This window comes from Homo sapiens, chromosome 1, assembly GCF_000001405.40.
Source record: "Homo sapiens chromosome 1, GRCh38.p14 Primary Assembly".
NCBI lineage: Eukaryota > Metazoa > Chordata > Mammalia > Primates > Hominidae > Homo > Homo sapiens.
In genome coordinates this window covers 155,737,453-155,762,013 of record NC_000001.11, presented here as the reverse complement: position 1 = coordinate 155,762,013, position 24,561 = coordinate 155,737,453, and the positions used below count along the sequence as shown (strand labels likewise).

General features: G+C 47.1%; 2 protein-coding genes and 1 pseudogene across 37 annotated transcripts in view, besides 1 other annotated feature; 1 reads left to right on the top strand and 2 right to left on the bottom strand.

Moving 5' to 3' along the window:
- The window catches only part of GON4L (gon-4 like), a 114,320-nt gene extending 97,418 nt beyond the window's left edge, over nt 1-16,902 (top strand). For 12 of the 18 annotated variants that reach the window (XM_047423299.1, XM_006711394.5, XM_047423284.1 and 9 more), the window contains 10 exons: nt 1,373-1,570; nt 3,980-4,123; nt 4,691-4,834; nt 4,937-5,056; nt 7,526-7,639; nt 8,600-8,810; nt 9,427-10,054; nt 10,145-10,247; nt 11,281-12,446; nt 13,496-16,902. In XM_047423299.1, coding sequence (XP_047279255.1) covers nt 1,373-1,570; nt 3,980-4,123; nt 4,691-4,834; nt 4,937-5,056; nt 7,526-7,639; nt 8,600-8,810; nt 9,427-10,054; nt 10,145-10,247; nt 11,281-11,430 — 1,812 coding nt within the window. In that variant the 3' untranslated portion in view covers nt 11,431-12,446; nt 13,496-16,902. Of the gene's footprint in view, nt 1-1,372; nt 1,571-3,979; nt 4,124-4,690; nt 4,835-4,936; nt 5,057-7,525; nt 7,640-8,599; nt 8,811-9,423; nt 10,055-10,144; nt 10,248-11,280 lie in introns of all 18 variants that reach the window. The other 6 variants (XM_006711393.4, XM_047423291.1, NM_001282856.2 and 3 more) reach the window with 4 other exon arrangements.
- On the bottom strand, nt 11,326-16,246 carry MSTO2P (misato family member 2, pseudogene; annotated as a pseudogene). The gene is made up of 13 exons (NR_024117.2): nt 16,102-16,246; nt 15,874-16,009; nt 15,326-15,395; nt 15,079-15,218; nt 14,831-14,885; nt 14,607-14,745; nt 14,334-14,451; nt 14,118-14,252; nt 13,483-13,614; nt 13,226-13,408; nt 12,583-12,687; nt 12,383-12,492; nt 11,326-12,088 (listed from the first exon to the last, which is right to left on the bottom strand). The product of NR_024117.2 is annotated as a misato family member 2, pseudogene (transcript).
- Nucleotides 16,505-16,704: an enhancer, noted in NCBI's record as "active region_1819". NCBI's record gives its function as "activates an Ori minimal core promoter by ATAC-STARR-seq in GM12878 lymphoblastoid cells {active_cell/tissue: GM12878}" and the evidence as "EXISTENCE:reporter gene assay evidence [ECO:0000049][PMID:35858748]".
- Nucleotides 16,903-23,003: 6,101 nt separating the features above from the next.
- Nucleotides 23,004-24,561, bottom strand: part of DAP3 (death associated protein 3) — a 51,063-nt gene continuing 49,505 nt past the window's right edge. For all 18 annotated transcript variants that reach the window (XM_047430081.1, XM_047430085.1, XM_047430090.1 and 15 more), the window contains one exon: nt 23,004-23,857. In XM_047430081.1, coding sequence (XP_047286037.1) covers nt 23,772-23,857 — 86 coding nt within the window. In that variant the 3' untranslated portion in view covers nt 23,004-23,771. The remainder of the gene's footprint in view (nt 23,858-24,561) is intronic.

The following is a 24,561-nucleotide window of genomic DNA, read 5'->3' as shown; positions in this document are numbered from 1 at the left end:
TCAATCATAAGTATGTTTATTGTTAGTACCCTGCCATCATCCTTCTGTTGACCAGAGATTGGCAGAAAGATGATACCACCATCATCAGTGGGAGGTTGTGACTTTACTGGGTGCGCTGATAAGGACCTTTATAGAACCTTTGGCTTGAGAAGAAAGATAGTGGGTACACTGGCCAGCAAGTGGATTTCAGGAAAATACATTGCTCTTAAGACATGAACCAGCTGGGCGTGGTGGCTGACACCTATAATCCCAGCACTTTGGGAGGCCGAGGTGGGTGGATCACCTGAGGTCAGGAGTTAGAGACCAGCCTGACCAACATGGTGAAACCCTGTCTCTACTAAAATACAAAAATTAGCCGGGTGTGGTGGTGGGCGCCTGTAATCCTAGCTACGGGGGAGGCTGAGGCACAAGAATCACTTGAACCTGGGAGACGGAGTTTGCAGTGAGCCGAGATCGCACCACTGCACTCCAGCCTTGGTGACAGGGCGACACTCTGTCTCAAAAAAAAAAAAAAAATGAACCAGGCTGGGCGCTGTGGCCCTTGCATATAATGCCAGCACTTTGGGAGGCTGGGGTAGGAGGATCCTTGAGTCCAGGAGTTCAAGACAAGACAAGCCTGGGCAACACAGGAGACCTCCATCTCTACAAAAATAAAAAAAAAATAGTGAGCTAAGCATGGTGGTGCATGCCTGTGGTCCTAGGTACTTTGGGAGTCTGAGGTGGGAGGATCACTTGGGCCCAGGTGGTTGAGACTGCAGTGAGCCATGATTGCATCAGTGCACTCCATCCTGGGCAACAGAATGAGACCCTGTCTCAAAAAAAAAAAAAAAAAAAAAAACCACACATAAGCTAACCACTTCTTGGTAGTGTCCTGGAGAACTGTGTCCTTCTCTTGGTAACCACCTGATTCCTTTATCCCCCTGGAAAGCAGAATACTGGCAATGATAGTCATAGCTTTTTCTTATCTCCTAATGTTTTACTGACATTCCTAACTTATGTATTATTTACTCTCAAATTACGCCCATGCTGAAATACATGTACAAACACATGTTACCTATTTCATTATGGGGCTGTAATCAGTAAGGAAAGGTTAGGGCTGTGACCTAGAGAAAAGCATTGCTTGGTTTTGTGGGTAGAACTGTGGAACGTGGAAGATGATTTTTCACTTGCTCACTCCCAGAAAAAGATCTTTACCTTGCCTATTGCTCTGTGTCTTCCATTAACAGTCAGATGTTAAGATCTGTTGGAGGCACAGCCTCTGATGGATAATTCTTGGAGCTCTCTAACCATAACCCTGCCTTCTCCCTTGTACCCTTATTGCTTGTTGTGGCCCAAATAAAGGGTGTTGATGATTGAAAGTCTTCCCGTGTAGGTGCGAGAAGCCCTACAACATATCCCTGGCAAGTATGAAGACTTCCTTCAAGTCATCTATGAATTTGAGTCAAGTACCCAGAGACGGACGGCTGTAGATCTCTACAAAAGCCTGCAAATTCTGCTCCAAGACTGGCCTCAGCTGTTGAAAGACTTTGCTGCTTTCCTGTTACCTGAGCAAGCTCTGGCCTGTGGATTAGTAAGTGAATGGGGAAAAAAAGTACACTGGGACTCCTGGGTCAGAGTGAGACTGGGATTGAATGGGGTTGAATAAGACTCTTTCAGTCTCCCAGCTCCTTCCAGACACACAGCCATCCCCTAGCCCAGAGTGATAAAAGCCTCTGTCTTTTCAGGGTATTATCTTTCCAATCCCATTCTCCCATTTTCTTTACATGATAAATGAGAGGGTTTTACCTATAGTTGCCAAAGGACACCTTAGGTGAGTCATATGCTCTCTGCTTCTCACTGGTATCAAGCCAGACATTCATTTAACAAATATTTGTTAGGTGCCTCCTAACTGTCAGGAATTCCTAGCAATTCCTGACCTCAATTGCTAGGAATATAGTAATTACAAAAGACTAAAATTCCTGCCCTCGTGGAGCTTACGTTATCATGAGGAAATTCAGATGATACTCCAGAAAACATATATATATATATATCATATATATATATATATAATATATAAAATATAAATTATAAAAATAAATATAAACAGCAAAATATATAGTATACAATGTTTTATAGTGATCATGTTTTACAGAAAAATAAAGCAGGAAAGGAAACTAGAGGGGTGGTTTTATACACAGCGGTCTGGGAAGGCCACTGTGGTATGGTAACGTGAAATGTTGCAGAATAGGAGGCTAAACATGAGGGATATCCCAGTAGTCCTGGACTTATCGTCATAAAAATAGGAACAAAGGGAGGAACGGGATTATTCTAAGAGTTTTATTGGGGTTAAATGACAGTGGGGTAGTTCTGCATATAATGTGTGATGCCCATTTTCTCTTCTGGTATTATGAGGTTCCAATCAGTGTATACGTGAACAAAAAAAAAAATTTTTTTTTTTTTGAGATGGAGTTTCACTCTTGTTGCCCAGGCTGGAGTGCAGTGGCGTGATCTCGGCTCACTGCAACCTCCGCCTCCTGGGTTCAAGCGATTTTCCTGCCTCAGCCTCCCGAGTAGCCGGGATTACAGGCATGCGCCACCACCACGCCTGGCTAATTTTGTATTTTTAGTAAAGACGGGGTTTCTCCATGTTGGTCAGGCTGGTCTCGAACTCCAGACCTCAGGTGATCTGCCCACCTCGACCTCCCAAATTGCTGGGATTACAGGTGTGAGCCACCACACTTGGCCAAAAAATTTTTTTAAAGAGATAATGTCAGCCAGGTATGGTGGCTCACACCTGTTATCCCAGCACTTTGGGAGGCCAGCCTGGACAACATAGCAAGACCCCATCTTTACATAAAATAAAAAAATTAACTAACTGGGTGTGGTGGTGCACACCTTTGGTCCCAGCTATTTGGGTGGCTGAGGTGGGAGGACCACTTGAGCCTGAGAGGTTGAGGCTTCACTCAGCCATGATTGCTCCACTACACTCCAGTTTGGGTGACAAGAGCAAGACCTTGTCTCAAAAACAAAAAAGAGAGAGACAATGGCCAGACACAGTGGCTGGCATCTGTAATCCCAGCACTTTGGGAGGCTAAGGTGGGAGGATCCCTTGTAGCCAGGAGTTTTGTTGTTGTTGTTTTATTGTTGTTGTTTTTTGAGGCAAAGTCTGACTCTGTCACCCAGGCTGGAGTGCAGTGGTGTGATCTCTGCTTACTGCAACCTCTGCCTCCCAGGTTCAAGTGATTCTCCTGCCTCAGCCTTCCGGGTAGCAGGGATTACAGGCATGCATGACCGCACCTATCTAATTTATGTATTTTTAGTAGAGATGGGGTTTCACCATGTTGGTCAGGCTGGTCTCGAACTCTTGACCTCAGGTGATTTGCCTACCTCGGCTTCCCGAAGTGCTGGGATTACAGGCATCAGCCACCACAGCTGGCCTGTAGACAGGAGTTTGAGATGAGCCTGGACAACACAGGCCCCTGGGATCCTCCTGCCTCAGCCTCCCAAGTAGCTCAAGCTACAGGTGTACACCACGGCCCCTGCCTAATTTTTAAATTTTTTTGTAGAGACATAGTCTCAGTATGTTGCTGTTCTTGAACTCCTGGCCTTAAGCGATCCTCCTGCCTTGGCCTCCCAACATGGGATTACAGCTATGAGCCACCTTGTGCAGCCTGAAAGTTCTTTGTAATATAAACTCTAAAGTATCATATGAATTTTGGTGGCTGATTTCACAATCCTTAAAACAGCAAACAACTTGAAATATATACATCTCTTGAAGCTGTTGCTCACATCTTAATTGCTTTGGGTGGCTACCCACCAGTGGCCCAAGGTGGATGGAGGTTAGGGTTTTAAATTAGATCTCAATAGTTGTAAACTAGAATTTTAAACCAGGGTTCTGTCATCTCTTGTGTCCTAGTCCACTAGTTCTTATCCTTAGAACCCTCAAGTCCTGCTCTAGCTGTATCATGACTCCTCTTTTGCCCACTTTCCACTCTGGTAGTTTGAGGAGCAGCAGGCTTTTGAGAAGAGCCGCAAGTTCCTTCGGCAGCTGGAGATTTGCTTTGCAGAGAACCCCTCACACCACCAGAAGATTATCAAGGTCCTCCAAGGCTGTGCAGACTGCCTTCCCCAGGAGATCACCGAGGTATTCTTTCCTGTCCTGCTTTCTTCCTGTTGTCTTCCGGGCCTTAGGCCTTTCCCTTGTCTCTTTCCCCAACCTACTCCATACCTTTTTGCCTCTGGAGGCTCATGGGCTTCCTGGAGGAGATGAAAAAGGCAAGGACTTTTCAGGCTCACCCAAAGCATAAAGCACTGGGATAGGGAGGGATTGCTACCTGAAACCGGAGCCTGTCTGATCTTCACAGGCTCAGGAATGCCATGGATGTGCTGGAAGGGATGTTCAGCGAAGGAGGTTCTGGGACCTGGGAGGGGCCTTACCTCCTTGCTCTGCTTGGAATAGTGCCCTAGCTGGAGATCAGTAGGGTGGAGTGGAGAGTGGAATCATTAGGAATCAAATCCAGTATTAGTACCCTTCCCCTATAGGCAGCTAAGGAGGAAGAGAAAGTTTTAGTATTCTTTGTTACCAGGCAGAGTCTCTGTGTGTTTCCCAGTTGACTGGGAAAGCAGAACATGGAAGTATGTGGGATTGATTGGGAAGGGCAGCCTAGAGAGGCTCTGGAGACTTCCTCTTTCCCTCTGTGACTCTCCTCAGCTCAAGACACAGATGTGGCAGCTCCTCAAGGGCCACGACCACCTGCAGGATGAGTTTTCTATCTTCTTTGACCACTTGCGCCCAGCAGCTAGCCGGATGGGTGACTTTGAAGAGATCAATTGGACTGAGGAAAAGGAGTATGAGGTATAGGACCTAAGGCTGCTGTAGCCTTATGAAGGGGGAAGGCCACACGTGGGAGGGATATTGGCCTGGTGTCTGTGCTCAGCAGCACCAACTCCTTCTCAGTTTGATGGCTTTGAAGAAGTGGCCCTGCCTGATGTGGAAGAAGAGGAGGAGCCTCCCAAGATACCCACAGCCTCAAAGAACAAGAGGAAAAAAGAGATCGGGGTCCAAAATCATGATAAGGTATTTTCTTTGTTTATTTGTTTGTTTTTGAGACAGAATCTCGCTCTGTCACCCAAACTAGAGTGCAGTGGCGTAATCTTGGCTCACTGCAACCTCCACCTCCCAGATTCAAGCGATTCTCCCACCTCAGCCTCTCAAGTAGCTGGAATTACAGACAGGCGCCAGCCACCACGCCCAGCAAATTTTTGTATTTTTAGTAGAGATGGATTTTCACTATGTTGGCCAGGCTGGTCTCGAACTCCTTACCTCAAGTGATCCACCCGCCTCGGCCTCCCAAAGTGCTGGGATTACAAGTGTGAGCCACTACGCCTGGCCTAAAATCATGATAAGGTATGCCAAGTTATTGAAAATTATCTATGTTTCATGAATCAAGCCTTGCGTTTTCTCACTGAACATTTCTGTGGCTTACTATGGCCCAAGGTTTCTAGTTCAAAGGCTCTAGGATCTGAGACGATCACGGAGAACAAACCAAAGGTCAGGCTGATACAGACATGCAGAGCCTTTGGGAAAACTGCAGTTGTTGCAGGGGCCCCAGGATTCCCTAGTTAGAAGGATTTGTTTCTTCCCCTTTTCTGTCTAGCTCAGAGTTATTACCCTTAATTCAACTTTTTTCATTTTTGCTCATGTGAGAAAATAGAGCCAATTGAGGATGAGCTTGTTATTAAAAAAATAAAATAGAACCAAGATTCCCCATATTAATAATAATGATAGCAGCTAATACTTAGTTGTATTACAAAGTGTCAGGCATTCTGGGAAGTATTTTAATGGATTATTGACACATTTAATTCTCACAGTAATCCTATGGAGAGATTGCTCTTGTTTGCATTTTACAGAAGACATAACTGAAGTGCAGAGAGGCTGTTGTCAGGGTCTCATATTTAGTAAGTGGTGGTGCTAGGATATGAACTCCTCAGGTAAGCCATCTGTGGAGTCTACTGGTTGTCACTGCTCTTCAAGCAGTATTTTTTTTTTTTTTTTTTAATTCGTGTTTCCTGACCAAGCGTTTTTTCTCTTTTCTGGGGAGAAACTGCTTCTTAGTAGCTGTATGACCTTGGGAAACGTATTTAACCTCTCTTTGTTTCAGTTTCTTCATCATAAATTGGGATGATAATGGTACTTACTTACGTCTTGGGTTTATTAAACAGTGTCACTGAGTAGGCTTTCCATGGGTACAAAGTTCTCTCTGAAGGGGATTGGAAGAGATGGGAGAGCTGAAGTCACAGAGAGACAGAAACAAAGACATTATATCTCATGATGGAGCTCTCCAGTGATTTTGCCTCAGATTATGTCTGACTTAAATATTTCTTGAAACATCTGGGGCAATTGGGATATGTCAGTCTTTAGGTCATTTAGGGATTGTTTCAGGGATTCATAATAGGCCTTAATCTAGTTTGGGCTATTGATTTCCCCAGGCGATGTGAGGAGTTGATACATAAAAGAGGATGGGGTCCGGGCGTGGTGGCTCATGCCTGTAATCCCAGCATTTTGGGAGGTCGAGGTGGGTGGATCACTTGAGGACAGGAGTTCAAGACCAGCCAGAGTAACATTGCGAATTCCTATCTCTACTAAAAATACAAAAATTAGCCATAGGCTAGGTGCTGTGGCTTACACCTCTAATGCCAGCACTTTGCAAGGCCAAGGCGGGCGGATTACTTCAGGTCAGGAGTTCGAAACCAGCCTGGTCAACATGGCGAAATCCCATCTCACTGAAAATACAAAAAAAATTAGGCTTAGTGGCATGCGCCTGTAATCCCAGCTACTTGGGAGGCTGAGACATGGGAATCGCTTGATCCCGGGGAGTGGAAGTTGCGCTAAGCTGAGATCACGCCACTGCACTCCAGCCTGGGAGAAAGAGCGAGACTCCATCTCAAAAAAAAAAAAAAAAAAAAATTAGCTAGGCGTGGTGGTGCGCAGTCCCAGCTACTTGGGAGGCTGAGGTGGGAAAATCACTTGAGCCCAGGAGGCAGAGGTTGCAGTGAGCCATGAATGTGACACTGCACTCTAGCCTGGGTGACAGAGCCAGACCTTATCTCAAAAAAAAAAAAAAAAAAAAAGCATGGGGAGAGGGTGGGCTGTGTTGTGTTCATATGGCTCACAACTTTAGCTTCCTCTCTTGGTACCAAAAATACGGCCAGGCACAGTGGCTCATGCCTGTAATCCTAGCACTTTGGGACGCTGAGGGAGGGCAGATCAAGAGGTCAGGAGTTCGAGACCAGCCTGACCAACATGGTGAAACCCTGTCTCTACTAAAAATACAAAAATTAGCTGGGTGTGGTGGCGCATACCTGTAATCCCAGTTACTCAGGAGCCTGAGGCAGGAGAATCCCTTGAACCTGGGAGGCAGAGGTTGCGGTGAGCTGACATCGTGCCACTGCAACCCAGCCTGGGCCACAGAGCGAGACTCTGTCTCAAAAAAAAAAAAAAAAAAAAAAACAACTTGGCAGCTAATCAAGCCCAAGTATCTCCTAGGAGACTGAATGGCCAGATGGGGCCAAGGACTGTGCCTGCTCCTGCCATGAAGGAGGTCCAGATTCCAAGCTGAAGAAGAGCAAAAGGCGGAGCTGTAGCCACTGTAGCAGCAAGGTGAGGAAAGTATCAAGGGTCCCGAGGGTATCAGAGCTGCTGGGGGATTGTTTGCTACCAAGAATTGTACCTTACTGAATTCCTAAAAAGGCACATATATAAATAACATTCAGTATACACATATGTGTACATATGCAAAATAAATGGAATCTGCTAGAAATACGTGATAGATTTTGTTTTTTAAAGAGAATTCTGTGAGTAAAGCTTTTGGAATTGGAAAAACAAAATACCAGTTAAAATATTTCCCTCAGATATTAGAAAATGAAATAAACCTCTGTCGTGAAAATAGTCTCTACAAGTAATCCTGGTTCTCTAGAATGGAGTTGGTTGGCAGGAAAAACACAGTTCTTGGTGAGAGAAGGAGTTGTGGAATCCAATACTCTATTCGGGGCCATTTAAAATCCTTGGAGCAGGGAGGCAGAGGTTGCAGTGAGCCATGATGATACCACTGAGCTCCAGCCTGGGTGACAGAGTGAGACCGTGTTTAAAAAAAAAAAAAATCAAATCCTTGGAGGAATAGCTGGGCAACAGGGCACTCAGGAGGCTCAGGTGGGAGGATCACTTGAGCCCAGGAGTCTGAGGCTATAGTGTACCACCATGGTCATGCCTGTGTAAACAGCCACTGCACTCCAGCCTGGGCAAGATAATCTGTGTCATCTGAGACCCTGTCTCTGTCTATCTTTTCTTTTTGTTTGTCATTTGAGACAGAGTCTCACTATGTTACCCAGGCTGATCTTGAACCCTTAGGCTCAAGTGATGCTCACACCTTAGCCTCCCAAGTAACTAGGTTTATAGGCATGTACCACTGCACCCAGTTGAAACTCTGTCAACAAAATTGTTGGAGCAGACATGCATGTGGGTTGACTTGATGAGCATCAGGCAGGGCTTCTTCCTTTGGTGGGCCCCAACCAAAGACATAGGCAGTCAGAACACCTTTGACCCGGAAGACCATCCCTGCAGGTCTGTGACAGCAAATCCTACAAGAGCAAGGAGCCCCATGAGTTGGTGGGCAGCAGCCCCCACCGAGAGGCTAGTCCTATGCCTGGTGCTAAGGAAGCTGGGCAGGGCAAGGATATGATGGAAGAGGAAGCCCCAGAGGAGCGGGAGAGCACTGAGGCCACCCAGAGCAGGACTGTCAGGACCACCAGAAAGGGAGAGATGCCTGTTTCAGGTGAGTGATTTGCCAACGCAGCCCTTCTGTTCCTCAGTCTCGTTATCCTGTACTCCAGACAGGAACCTCCATGAGCCTGGATAAATAGCCTTTTCAGGGATGGATATACCACCTCTTTCACTGATGGACCCATAGGAAGCCCTTCTGCTGTTCAGGCTTTTTCTATCATATGGCCTCACTCCTCTTGCAGAATTAAGAATGCCACAAATTTCATGCAATTCAACATTGTCTTGTGTTTTATTCCAAAAACCCTTCCCCCTGTCTCCAAATCTAGTGTAATCTACATCCTAAAGACTGGGCCGTTCTCAGCTTTGGCAGTAGGACTTTATATCTTTGCATAAGTGACATTATGCCCCCCACCTCCACCCAACTCTTTTATTATTTATATTTTCTTGTAGAGATGGAGTCTCACCATATTGCCCAGGCTAGTCTCAAACCCCTGGCAGTCCCACCACTTTGGCTTCCCAAAGTGCGGACATTATAGGTGTGAGCCACCATGCCCAGCCCTCTTTTTTATTAGAATTTTTGCACAGTACCTGGCCACAGGTAATTTCTCGTGCTTAGGTGCATCTTGAACCTGACAGTACCCTGAGATCCTTATTTTCCTCCTAAGCAGGATTGGCAGTGGGGAGCACTTTGCCATCCCCTCGAGAAGTGACTGTTACAGAACGGCTCCTCCTGGATGGCCCACCACCTCATTCACCAGAGACTCCTCAATTTCCCCCCACAACTGGAGCTGTACTGTACACTGTTAAGAGAAACCAGGTTGGGCCTGAGGTTCGCTCCTGCCCCAAGGCATCCCCCAGACTTCAGAAAGAGAGGGAGGGCCAAAAGGCAGTGAGTGAGTCAGAGGCTTTGATGCTGGTCTGGGATGCATCAGAAACTGAGAAATTGCCTGGTACCGTGGAACCCCCTGCTTCCTTCCTGAGTCCTGTTTCCTCAAAGACCAGAGATGCAGGGAGAAGACATGTGTCCGGGAAACCAGACACTCAAGAGAGATGGCTGCCCTCAAGCAGAGCTCGGGTGAAGACAAGAGACAGGACGTGCCCTGTCCATGAATCTCCATCAGGAATTGACACCTCAGAGACTTCTCCCAAAGCCCCTAGAGGGGGTTTGGCTAAAGACAGTGGAACACAGGCCAAGGGTCCAGAGGGGGAGCAGCAGCCAAAGGCCGCAGAAGCTACGGTGTGTGCCAACAACAGCAAGGTCAGCTCCACTGGGGAAAAGGTTGTCCTGTGGACAAGGTAGGTAAGGGTGGATGACGTGTGTTTGGAAAAGAGCATAGACCACATCCATGTGGCTCCCTAGGGTTAATCATGATACCTGGGTTACAGGGAAGCTGACCGTGTGATCCTCACCATGTGCCAGGAGCAAGGGGCACAGCCACAGACCTTCAACATCATCTCCCAGCAGCTGGGAAATAAGACCCCTGCTGAGGTAGGTGCGGGTTGGGGTGAAGACCTGGCAAAAAGAGGTCAAGGTGGCCAACTAACAGACAGAAAGGCCAAAGAAGGAGTTTTGATATCCAAGATAATAAGTGGTTTTTGTAAAGGTTTGATCTAAGGAAAGGCTTGACTCATCAGGGTGGTAGTGGTTCTAGAAGAGAAAGGACACTAGATTTTGAGGATTTTTAAATTTTTATTTATTTATGTATTTTAGACGCAGTTTCACTTGTCGCCTAGGCTGGAGTGCAGTGGCACAATCTCAGCTCACTACAACCTCCACCTCCCAGGTTCAAGTGATTGTCCTGCCTCAGCCTCTCCCAAAGTAGCTGGGATTACAGGCACCCACCACCATGCCAGGCTAATTTATTTATTTTTAGTAGACACGGGGTTTCACCATGTTGGCAAGGCTAGTCTTGAACTCCTGACCTCAGGTTATCCACCTGCCTCAGCCTCCCAAAGTGCTGGGAATAGGTGAGATACTGCGCCCGGCCAGGATTTTAAAGTGGAAGCCCCAGTTTCCATTCCAGTTTTGTTTTTAGGAGTTGTGTGACTTTGGGCAAAACATTTAGCCTCTTGAGTTTCCTTATCTATAATGACATAGCTCTCCCAACCTTGCTGTGAGGAATAAACAAGAGATTTTTCAAATCAGTATATTGTGCTTCATAAATGTTAACATTGTTACAAAGCATCAGTGAGGCTGGGCGCAGTGGTTCATTCCTGTAATCCCAACACTTTGGGAGGCCGAGGTGGGTGGATCACCTGAGGTCAGGAATTTGAGACCAGCCTGGCCAACATGGTGAAACCCCATCTCTACTAAAAATATAAAAACTAGTCAGGTGTGGTGGTGGGCACCTGTAATCCCAGCTACTCTGAAGGCTGAGGCAGGAGAATTGCTTGAACCCAGGAGACGGAGGTTGCAGTAAGCTGACACAGTGCCACTGCACTCCAGTCTCAGCAACAGAGAGAGACTCCGTCTCAAAAACAAAAAAAAAAGACCAGTGAATACAGCCCTCCTCCTTTCTTAGGTTTCCCACCGTTTTCGAGAACTCATGCAGCTCTTCCACACTGCCTGTGAAGCCAGCTCTGAGGATGAGGATGATGCAACCAGTACCAGCAATGCAGACCAGCTGTCTGACCATGGGGACCTTCTGTCTGAAGAGGAGCTGGATGAATGAGACTCTGGGAATCATCTACACAGGACCAAACCCAACAGGCGCCCTGGCACCGGGGAGGGGGTAGTTGTACTCTGCTTGTACAGTCCTTGAGCCCAGTTTACAGATCTGGAGAGCAGGAGGCCAGGACAAGGACAAAGGCTGGAGGATGGAGTAGGACCCAGGGGCTCTGCCATCCTAGGCATCATTCAAGGTCTTTTATGAAGACTTTACAGATGTCCTCTGTAAATAGCATCGAGAGTGGAGTTCAGCTCCTTTCTCTACTTTTTTTTGGTCTGATGGCACATATTTATTGTTCTGTGGTCTAATCACAGTGTTTCTAAATGTAAAAAGTGCATATGTTGGTGTAGCTAGTCCCGCGACATTGAGCTCCTCTGCATGAAGACACTGGGCTCCTGCATCCAGCTGTTTTTATTGCAAACTAGCTCCTTTCTCCCACACTGGGAACTTTAGTCCACGAGGCTGTCACCACCCTGGTAGCACTGGGCCAGGCTTTGTAGCTCCTGCAGCAGCTCTGCTACGTCATCGTGCTCCACTCCAGCATCCATGAAGCTGGCCCAGCGCCGCAAGTCGAGTTTGGTGAGGTCTCTGGCCAAGGCTTCCAGGGTCTGGTGCAGGGACGAAGAGGAACACAGTGCCCCAAACACTGGGATGCTCTCCACTGCTGTGGAGGGAGAGGAAACAGAGACCTGTAGATGGATGATTATTCTGCCCTGGGACTCGCCAAACTGATAAGGAAGTCCAACCTTAGTAGACTTGATTGTAAACTCAACAAATTTGGTGTATTGTCCCCTTAGTACACCAGTACTCCAGAGGAAGAATGCTTTTCTTGGGAGCCATAGGGTGAATAAAGGAATGTTTAACTGTGGACTTTTTCAGCACTTTTAATCCAGGAATGGAGATAGTAAAACCTCTCCCATACTTGAAATCTCAGTTTTCTTCACCTCCTACATACCTGCTCCCTTGGGGGAACCATCCAGAACCATACCCGGTGGACTGCAGCTTGAGAAGAGGTGGGGGTAAGGAGGAGCCACCCTGCAGGGAGTCAGCAGCAGATGGGAAGAACTGTGGGGGCAGAGAACAGCCATTAAGTGCGTAAGAAGTCAAGGGAGGGTTGCGGTTGGCAAGAAGGGCAGGAGCAACCGTTACACTGACCTCATGACTCCAGGCTGCTGCTGTTGTAAATACTGAGCCAAGATTTCTTCCCCAGTGGTACATGCATGAAGGGCAGAGGGTGGAGGTGTCCCTGGGGTGAGCTGGCTGCCATAACAAAGCCAAAACCACCATTAGTCTGTGGCAGCATGAATAACAAACTAAGAATTCTTTTTCTTTTTGAGACAGAGTTTTGCTCTTGTTGCCCAGACTGGAGTGCAATGGTGTGATCTCGGCTCACTGCAACCTCCACCTCCCAGGTTCAAACAATTCTTCTGCCTCATCCTCCCAAGTAGCTGGGATTGCAGGCATGTGCCACCATGCCTGGCTAATTTTATGTTTTTAGTAGAGATGGGGTTCACCATGTTGGTCAGGCTGGTCTCGAATTCCTGGCCTCAGGTGATCTGCCCACCTCAGCCTCCCAAAGTGCTGGGATTACAGGCGTCAGCCACCATGCCTAGCCCAAGAAACTTAAGAATTTTTATGTTATCAGGCCATCAGCTGGATCAAGATATTCAAAGCCCTTCTTTTTATCCTTTTTAAGGGGTGGGGAGGGAACAACATCATTAGAATGCCCGAGAAATTAGGGGGAAAAGGACATGAAACAAAAATCTGACAAGGACTCCTAAGGACCAACAGCTCTCACCTTGTGTGGCATGCTCTGTCTATACCCTCAGCACCACTGACTGGGCAAAGCAACGTGTTCCAGAAGGCTCCCCACATGCAGACAGTGGGGTCCATGGGGTGGCTCCTCCAAACTGCATCAGGGAATCAGGAAGGGACTGGCCTGGAGCCAAGGGGAAAGGGATGATTGCTCCTGCTGTCACCACTTAAAGAGAAGGAAGAGAACACGTTATAGGACATTTTCTCAGCACTGACCCAACCCCTCACAAAGCTTCATACCTTTTTCCCACAGAAGCTCAGCATGTCAGCCAGATGAACCATGGAAACTGGAGAGGAACACAGGCGATAAGGAACAGTGACTGTGTCCAGGGCTGTAGCCAGGATGGCACTGCAGTGGAAGGGCAGAATGGCCTGTAAGAAGACACCAAGAGGGGCACTTGGCCTCGGGCCTGGAAAAGAATGTGTGGAGGCAGAATGTTAACACCAGAGAGACCCAGGGGATGAATCAGGGGTATGTTTGACCCCAGGCTGGACAAGCATAGGACAGTGTGATCTGAGAGGCCACATCACAGCTGAGTTCAAGCTCGGGCCTCAGGAACAGAGCCAGTACAGACAGCGACTGACTGGGAGCATGAGGAGGCCCTGTAGCCTGCCGCAGTCAGAACAAGAGCACCGAGACTTACATCATAATGCAGGTAAGGGAAGTTGACAGGTGGCTCAGGTCGCAGGCCCAGGCTCCCACCCAAGGACAAGGGGCAGACGAGAGCTGTGAGCAGTCAGGTGCACGAGACCAAAAGCTGTGTTTAATAGACGATAGATGTTTCTCTGGGCCTCCTCGTAAAGAAAAAAACCAGTTTGCATTAAGCCACTCTCCCAATGGGATTCGAATGTTTACTCCTCCAAGTTCCACTCACCCCACGATGGTAGGGACCAGGTAGCAGGCCCCAAGTTATTATTCCCCGCCCTGAATATTCATCTTGTAGCAGCTCTGCCGCCTTCGCGCCTACCCCAGAGAAGCCATCGTGCAGGTCACACAGGATCTGGAAGCCCTGGGCGGGGGTGAGTGACGAAAGATAGTTAGCAGGATGAGAAGAGCTTCCACCCTGGAGTGCACATTGCCACGCCACTACCTGCAAGTAGTCACATTCCTCCACGTAGAAATGCAGCCTGTCCTCCAGCTCTTCCTGGTACTTGGGTTCCTTTAGGACACTTTCCCCTTGGCCAAAAGCCTCCAGCCGACCTGCTTCCCTGCCACAAGTAAACACGATCCAAGACTTACATCTCTTCCCTCAACTCCTCAGCCTCTTGTCCTGGGGAAGGGCAGGGAAGATGGCCTCAAGAGCCTCATCCTGCATTGGTGGGGACCCATGTTTCTTGCCTCAAAGCCTCTGGGGTCCCCATACCCATCGTGGTTGTACTTCTGAATCATACAGATGCTCCGGGGATGGAGATGGACTCTGAGGAAGTCTGACCAGACCCTGATGCTGGCCTCTGTAGGGATAAGTGGTTTTGGAGTTGTAGCGGTGGGGAGTGGTGAGGAACCTGAAGACAAGCAGAGGAAATGTACCTTTCTCCATGTTTCTGCTCTACCCAAGCCCCCATCCATCAGTATCTGGAGAAGTCTCACCTTTGCCATTGGGAATGGATTTGACCCTCCAGACACCATCACTACTCAGCACTCCCTGGGAGGGGTCAGAAAAATCGACATTTAGTTCCAGGCAGTTTAGAGGCAAAGGTTGCTTCATCCTCCTTGAGTTGGCTGGCCACACCGCATAGCCTCCTTTCTGTTCACCGAGTCGCAGTCCTTAGGAAAAGGAGTGCTTTTTCCCAAAATATCATTCTAAGACATTTAAAATGATTAAAATCCCCGTTTACCTGCCCCTATGGAGACCCTCAGGTTGTGGCACCGGGTTAAAAAGTTCAGGACAGAGGCCCTCACCTCTGCACTCAGAAAGTCTTGGAGATAAGGGTTCTTGGGATAGAGTTCCTCTTTGTGTGTGGTGAGCTTCCCCTGCCTGAAAGAGTTTGGAGATTGATCAAAGAAACTGCACTCTGATCAGAGTTATCCAGCGTTCTGCGTACATACACGATCCCCACCCTTATCCATACATCAGTTACACACCATGCTATTGCAGCATCCAACTGTTTGTCCCTGTAGAGTCCACCTTCCTCTTTTAGGGAGCTCAAACTACCTGTACAGAAATAACAGAGACAATGTTAGGTCAAAGCCTGGGCACCCTTCCCCTCTAGCTAACCTTCCTCTGATCACCTGACAACCTGCTGTCACCATCTCTCCAGCACTTGGCTCTTCCAAGCTTTCTGGGATATACACTAGTTGGGGGAAAAACCTTGGCTTAGGAGAATCTAGATTCCATCTTTCGGTTCCCAGCTTAGTCATTAGCTGTGGGACGCGGGGGGAACCACATCCAGGGGTCTGACAGGAGTGCTGCAGTTCAAGTCCTCACTGTCTCCAGGGCCTAGCAGCCTATTCCCGAAATGGCTCTTGAGCAACTGTCGTGGGCCCCTCGAGTGTTGGCATGTTGTGCTCAGCTCCTCATCTCCGGTCCTGGAGCTCGGTAAAGTGGGAGGGTCTTGAAGATAACGGCAGCGCAAGGACTAGGCACGCGGAAGGGAAATAAGGGGCATCGGCTAACTCTGCCACCACCTCACCCTTCAGATCCATGAGGATGAGTCGCGGCGTGTAGGTCTCCTGGCCGTGCAGCGTCCGGCCCGTACGATACAGGACGTCGGGGCACAGCTCTCCCGGGGGCTCCTTGGAATCGGTCGCTCGGCCCAGCGCAGCATCCTGGGGAAGCAGAGAGGACGAGGCAGGCCGGCTGAACGTCGGGACTGTAGATCCCGAAGGGCTCCTCGGGGGCAGCTGCCGGCTGACCTCACCTGCTGGTTCCACCAGTGCGCGCCCACGAAACCGGCAAAATGTCCCAACTGCAGTGTGAGCACCTCCCGGGCCCCGCCCGCCATACTGCGCTGCTCCACGGGGCCGCCGCGCCTCAGCCGCGCCGCTCGCTGCTCCTAGCCGATTGGCTTGGCAGGCGCGTGGGCGGGTGTTATACTGGCGACTTATTGGTCCGCAAACACATCCTTTCCCATTGGAGAAATGATGCGCCGATCCTTTCCTACCTCTTCCTAGACGTGGCCCAGTCCGGCTTCTCTGTGGTTGCCGCGAGAGGCGGGGCTCCACGGGCCACGCCGTTGCTCCTGCTCCACGCTGGAGCGGGGTGGGCGCTGTCTCCGCCGCTGACTTGGGGCCGCCAGGGCGCGGGCCGCGGAAGGCTCTGCCTCGTACTTCCCTTGAGGTCTTATCTCTTCTTACAGATCTCTCCGCTGGCTGATAGCTCCCCGGGCAAAAATGAAACCTTGCCAGAATAGCGGAAGCTCCGCTAAAGCCTCCCATGCCCCCTCATCTCTTCAGAAGTCACACGGATCACGACTCTTCAGAAGTCCACAGATCCCCGTGGACTGACCTAGCTATCATATCTGTATCATTTACATGTATTAATCTATCTCTGTGTATGTAACACTTTATGTAAATAGAGTATTGGCGTCTGTCTTTTGCTCAATATGGTTTATGCAATTTATGTTTTTGCATATATATTTTTCATCTCTGTGGAATAGTCCATTGTATGAATACACCACCACTGATCTATTCTAAAGAATGAATATATTCTGCTGATAATAGCTTTTGGGATTGTTTCCATTGTTTCCAATTTTGGCCTATTAGGTGCTATGATTAACATCCTTGTGTATATTTAGAAAGATAAAGCAAATATTGGCCGGGCGCTAAGCCTCATGCCTGCATTCCCAGGTTTTGGGAGGCTGAGGCAGGAGGATCGCTTGAATCCAGAAATTCCAAACTGGGCAACCTAGTGAGACACCAGCCCCCAACTCCCTATAAAATAATATTTCAAAAAGTTAGCCAGGCGACTCACATCTGTCGTCCCAACTGGAGGCTGAGATGGGAGGATTGCTTGGGCCCAAGAATTCGAGGCTACAGTGACCCATGATCGCACCACTGCACTCCTGTCTGGGCGACAGAGTGAGACCCTGTCTCAAAAAAATACAGATAAAACAAAAAATAAAAAAAAAAAAGTGGCCAGGCGCGGTGGCTCAAGCCTGTAATCCCAGCAGTCTGGGAGACCGAGGTCGGCGGACCACTGAGGTCAAGAGTTGTAGACCAACTTGGCCAACATAGTGAAACCCGTCTCTACTAAAAATACAAAAATTAGCTGGGCATGGTGTTGGGCGCTTGTAATCCCAGCTACTCCGGAGGCTGAGGTAGGAGAATCACTTGAACCCCGGAGGTGGAGATTGCAGTGAGCTGAGATAGCACCACTGCACTCCAAACTGGGCGACAGATCAAGACTCCGTCTGAAAATAAAAAATAAAATCTTAGCCTCTCTTGTCTATTCTGAGCTCCTTGTAATTCCATATTTATTTAGTCTTATTTATTTATTTTGAGACAGGGTCTCACTCTCTTGCCCAGGCTGGTGTGCAGTGGTGCAATCTCGGCTGACCGCAGCCTCAACCTCTTGGGCTGAAGCGATCCTCCCACCTCAGCCTCCTGCATAGCTGCAATTACAGGCATGGACCACCACCACCTGGCTAATTTTTTTTATTTTTTGTACATATGGGGTTTCACCGTCTTGCCCAGGCTGGTCTCAAACTCCTGAGCTCCTGAGCTCAAGTGATCTGCCCACCTCGGCCTCCAAAAGTGTTGGGATTACAGGTGTGAGGCACTGTGCGCAGCTACCATTTCACTTCTAAGTATGATGTGGGCTGAAAAGTTTCTGTAGGTACTCTGACAGCTTAAGGAAATTCTGTATTCCTGTTTTGCTAAGAATTTTGGTCATGAATAGATTTGAATGTTTTTTACAGCTTTCTCCGCACTAAGATAATTACATTATTTTATCATTCCTTTGTTGCACTAATGAATACATCTGATTTTCATGTAATACTATCTTGCATTCCTAAAATTATCCCAAACTCATTTATGTTGATTATCCTTTTAAAATACTGGATCTGGGTTTGGCGTAGTAGCTCATGCCTGTAATCCCAGCACTTTGGGAGGCTGACGTGGGTGGATCACCTGAGGTCAGGAGTTCGAGACCAGCCTGGCCAACATGACAAAACCCCCTCTCTACTAAGAATACAAAAATTAGCCGGAGTCTCGTCCTGTCGCCCAGGCTGGAGTGCAACGGCACGATCTCAGCTCACTGCAACCTCCACTTCCCGGGTTCAAGCGATTCTCCTGCCTCAGACTCCTGAGTAGCTGGGATTACAGGTATGCGCCACCACACCCGGCTAATTTTTGTATTCTTAGTAAGGGTTTCACTATGTTGGCCAGGCTGGTCTCAAATTCCTGACCTCGTGATCTGCCAGCCTCAGCCTCCCAAAGTGCTGGGATTACAGGTGTGAGCCACCGCACCTGGCCAATTTTAATATTTTAAAATATTTAATTTTTAATTTAATTTTTTATTTTTTTTTGAGATAGGATCTCACTTTGTTACTCAAGCTGGAGTGCAGTGGTACAAACAGCTCACTGCAACTTCAACCTCTTGGGCTCAAGCCATCCTCCCACCTCAGCTCCCGCAAGTAGCTGGGACTACAGGCATGTGCCATCACGAATCCAGCTAATTTTTTTTTTTTTTTTTTTTTTTTTGAGACTGAGTCTCATTCTGTCACCCAGGCTGGAGTGCAGTGGCGTGATCTCAGCTCACTGTAACCTCTGCCTCCTGGGTTCAAGCAATTTCCCTGCCTCAGCCTCCCGAGTAGCTGGGATTACAGGCGCCTGCCACCACGCCCAACTAATTTTTGTATTTTTTTAGCAGAGACAGGAGTTTGCCATGTTGGTCAGGCTGGTCTTGAACTCCTGACCTCAGGTGATCTGCCCGCTTTGGCCTCCCAAAGTGCTGAGATTACAGACGTGAGCCACTGCGCCTGGTCAATTTTTGCATTTTTGGTAGAGATGAGGTTTCACCATGGTGCCCAGGCTGGTCTTGAAGTCCTGGGCTCAAGCAATCCTCCCGCCTCGGCATCCCAAAGTGCTGGAATTACAGGCCTGAGTCACTGTGCCCTGCCAGCCAGTATTTTCAACGTACAAAATTTTTAAGTTTTGTGTTTAGTAATTTCACAATCATTTAATTTGAATTACTTTCTCATTTCCATTCTGATCTTTCTCCCTGACCAATGGGCACATCAGAAAAGTATGTTTTAATTTCCAGACACATGAGGAGTTTCTATTTCTCTTTTTGTTACTGGTTTCTAGTTTAAATTGCATTAGAATCAGAGTACACGGCTGTATGATTTAAATTCTTTGAAATATATTGAGCTGGTTTATGGTCCATTGTCAGTCAATTTTGAACAGGTTCTTTATGTGCTTCAAAAGAAAGTACATTCAGAAGTTTTGGGATTTGATAGGTGGAAGGTGAGGCCAGAAAGGCAGGTCCACTCCGTATAACTTCTATTGAAAAAGATCTGTGAGGCCGGGCTCGGTGGCTCACACCTGTAATCCCAGCACTTTGGAAGGCCGAAGTGAGCGGATCACCTGAGGTCAGGAGTTTGAGAACAGCCTGGCCAGTATGGTGACACCCCGTCTCTGCTATAAATACAAAACAGCCGGACGTGGTGGTGTGCACCTGTAAGCCCAGCTACTAGGGAGGCTGAGTCAGGAGGATAGCTTGAACCAAGGTTGCAGAGGTTACAGTGAGCCGAGATCATGCCACTGTACTCCCGCCTGGGCAACAGAGCAAGACCCTTTAAAAAAAATATATATGTGAATAAGTGGACCCATGCAGTCCAAAAACGTTATTGTTTAAGGGTCAACAATAATGACCTGATGTATTTTCTACTTTTTAGAACAACAGATGCTTATTAAATTAATAATATGTTTATTAAAGCATTATTTCATAATCTGCCTTTCTAGAAGTTTGATGATGTCCAAGTTCAGCTTTAGGCAACTTAATTTGCTCTCTTTTCTCTCTGCCTTCCTGGGTTAAAGAAAAGGATAACTGTAGTTAGGCTATTAAAAATAAAGTATGTGAATGTAAAAGAGCTTCTACCAAAAAAAAGTTGTTTGGGGATTCAATTTTTAAAAATACTTCCATTAGGACAAGTGTTAATCATGCTACTCAATCTTTTATATCCTTACTTTTTTTTTTTGAGACAGAGTCTCACACTGTCACCGGGCTGGACTGCAGTGGCGCGATCTCGGCTCACTGCAGCCTCCGCCTCCCAGGTTCAAGCAATTCTCCTGCCTCAGCCTCCCAAGTAGCTGGGATTACAGGTGCCCGCCACTATGCCCGGTTGATGTTTTTGTATTTAGTAGAGACGGGGTTTCACTGTATTACTCAGGCTGGTCTCAAACTCCTGACTTCAGGTGATCCACCCGCCTCGGCCTCCCAAAGTGCTGGGATTATAGGCGTGCACCACCACACCCGGCCCTCTTTTGAATTTTTACTTGCAATTTTAGATTTGTCTCTTGAAGGGTAGCATTGCGTTTGGGTGCATTAGGTCTTCCCAGAAACAGACGATGGGGTTATAGCCTGGCCAAAGTCATTCAAGCCTATACGCCCAGCAATTTGGGAGGCTGAGACAGGTGGATCACTTGAGTCCAGAAGCTTGAGACCAGCCTGGGCAATATAGTGAGATCCCATCTTTATTAAAAAAAAAAATCAAAATTAGCCACGTGTGGTGGTGTGTGCCTGTAGTCCTAACCACTCGTGGAGCTGAGGTAGGAGGATTGAGTCCAGAAGGTCGAGGCTGTAGTGTGGCCTTACACTCCAGCCTGGGTAACAGAGAGTGAGACCCTGTCTCAAAATAATATTAATAAAAACATAAACTTTAGGTCAGTTTCCCTTTTTTATTTCCTTTTTGTTTTTTGAGACAGGGTCTTACTCTGCAGCTGAGGATGAGCAGTGGCATGATCACGGCTCACTGAAACCTCAACCTCTGGGGTTCAAGTGATCCTCCTGCCTCAGCCTCCCAAGTAGCTGGAACTACAGGCGCATGCCACCATACCTGGCTAATTTTTGTATTTGTTGTAGAGCCTAGGCTTCTCCATGTTGCCCAGGCTGGTCTCAAACTCCTAGGCTCAAGTGATCTGCCCACCTCAGCCTCCCAGCATGCTGAGATTACAGGCATGGACCACCGTGCTTGGTCAGTTTTCCAGTTTTGCAAAAAACCTTCTGAAATTTTGATAATGATTGCATTGAATCTATAGGTCAATATGGGAATAACTGCCATCTTATTACTGAGTACTCCAATCAATGAACATGGAGAATCTTTCCATTTAGTAAGATCTTTTAAATTATCATCAGGAATATGGTTTCTAGGCTGGGCGCGGTGGCTCACACCTGTAATCCCAGCACTTTGGGAGGCCGAGGTGGGTGGATCACAAGGTCAGGAGATCGAGACCATCCTGGCTAACACGGTGAAACCCTGTCTCTACTAAAATTTCAAAAAATTAGCCGGGCACGGTGGCGGGTGCCTGTAGTCCCAACTACTCGGGAGGCTGCGGCAGGAGAATGGTGTGAACCCAGGAGGCGGAGCTTGCAGTGAGCCGAGATCGCACCACTGCACTCCAGCCTGGGTGACAGACCAAGACTCCGTCTCAAAAAAAAAAAGAAAAAGGAATATGGTTTCTAGTGTACATTTAGCAGTTATTTTGTTCAAGTTATTTATTAGAGATTCGGTCTCTCTCACTCTGAGGTTTTGCCATATTGCCTAGCCTGGGAAACCAAGCTACATTCTGTCTCTACTGAACACTAAAAAATTAGCCAGGTGTGGTAGCACACACCTGTGGTCCCAAGTTACTAGGGAGGCTCAGGCAAAAGGACTGATTGAACCCAGGAGTTGGGGCTGCAGTGAGCTGTGATCATGCCACTGCACTCCAGCCTGGGAGACAGGGCAAGACTGTCTCTTAAAAATATATAAATATAAATTAAAAATATATATATAACATATATATAAAATATATACAAATACATATAACATATATAATACATATACATAATATATAGGACCCAATATTATGAGTAATATACTATATATTGTCATATACAATATATAATATACAACCTATTAGTATACTACTTTGATAGTTATATATTACTGTCAAAGTAAACATATTTTTAATATGTATCTAACATATTAATAGTAATACTAATATAAACATAACATATATATACGTATAACAGACATAATATATACATATGATATGCATATCGTGTGTGTATATACATATATACACACACACACACACACACACACACACATATATATATTTTTTTTTGAGACAGAGTCTCTATCAGTCACCCAGGCTGGAGTGCAATGGCATGATCTCGGCTCACTGCAACCTCTACCTCCTGGGTTCAAGCAATTCTCCTGCCTCACCCTCCCGAGTAGATGGGATTAGAGGCATGTGCCACCACCCCCGGCTACTTTTTGTATTTTTAGTAGAGACGGGGTTTCACCATGTTGGCCAGGCTGGTCTTAAACTCCTGACCTCAAGTGATCTGCCCGCCTCGGCCTCCCAAAGTGCTGGGATTACATGCATGAGCCACCACGCCCGGCCATATATATATTTGTGTAGAATTGTATCATCTCTAGGATTTGGTAACAGAAATTCCTTTTAGAAAAGCACTGGGAGAAAGGGAAGATACCTGATTTTCCATTATTGTTATTCCTCATACCTATGTGGGATTCGTTCCAGGATCCCACTTCCTCCAGGTAGCAACATCCTTAGATGCTGAAGTCGGTCATGTAAAACAGTACAGTATACATTTATTATTTATTTATTTATTTATTTATTTATTTATTTTGAGACGGAGTCTTGCTCTGCTGCCCAGGCTGGAGTGCAGTGGTGCAATTTTGGCTCACTGCAACATCCGCCTCCCAAGTTGAAGCAATTCTCCTGCCTCAGCCTCCCAAGTAGCTTGGATTACAGGCGCATGCCACCGTGCCCGGCTAATTTTTGTATTTTTAGTAGAGACAGGTTTTCACCATGTTGCCCAGGCTGGTTGCAAACTCCTGAACTCAAGCAGTCTGCCCGCCTTGGGCTTCCAAAGTGCTGGGATTACAGGCATGAGCCACTGTGCCCAGCCAGCTGTGAATTTTGACATGCTGAATTCCATAAAGCCTCAACAGAACCACTGGAAATTTCTGTAGAATTGATCTCTTCTGACCTGCAACAAGAGGAATATCAGAGAAATGCAATTTGGCCAATCTAAAGACTCCTTCCATATTATTAATCTAACACAACACTTTAGAAAGATATTTTATTTTTTAGGAAAAGAGCCATAATTATCTTAAATGTGAAAAACCACATCCAATAAACTGATATAAAGTTTTAGGAACAAGGGAATATCTTATTGTCACGCATTCACAGTGAAACCCATTTTAATGCAGGTCCAGAGCCAACTGCAGTCCTGTCCAATCCCATAGGTACAAGGGCCTGGCTCCTCTTCCTGTGTACTGCCCGACTTCCTCATCTTACTGGGTCCAGCATAAAGCAGATGTCCACTGTCTTCCTCACATGCTGTGATCTTGGCTTAGAGGTAGGCACAGTGCCGCTCCAGCAGCGAGGGGTTCGCGTTACTTAGGAACAGCAGCTCTTTTTTCCCTTCTTCTGTAGGAGCTAAAATGGAGACAAACACAGGTAAGTGGCAGTTTCCTCCTGCTGCACTGTGTTCCCCAGAATATCGTGTAGTCAGAGGCTACCATATCCAAATTACGTTCTGAGGTAATTATCATCTCCCAAGAGATCTTACTTCTAGACCCTCACCCCAACAAGCTACTCTTCTTTTGTATGCATTACTTCCTTTTCTGTGTCTACTCCTCCAAACCAGCATGGAGCTCTCTCTCCACTCCAAGAGTGTCTTCTGGACTTCAGGATTTTGTGACATCTCCCAACTCTTAGAAATCTGTCTATTGTGCATCCCAACTTAACATGCTACAGTTAGTCTTACACTCTTCACTGTACTCCTTTAATAAGCTATTCTAAATAGTATTTTTTTTTTTTTGCTTTTTTCAATAGAGATGGGGTCTCACTATATTGCCTAGCCTGGTCTCAAACTCCCGACATCAAGTGGTCTTCCCACCTTGCCCTCCCAAAGTGTAGATTACAGGTGTGAGCCACTGCACCAGGCCTCCGATTACTATTAACTCTATTATCTAGTGATAGAGCAGCCTTAGCTTTTCTTCTATATCCCCTCTTCATACTCAAATGTGAGGTCAAGGGCAAGTAAATGAACAGTTGGAATGCTTTCAGTCAGAGTAGATGAAATATAGTGCTGAAAGTTAATTTCTGTACATATACTAGGACAGGTGTGGCAAAGATTT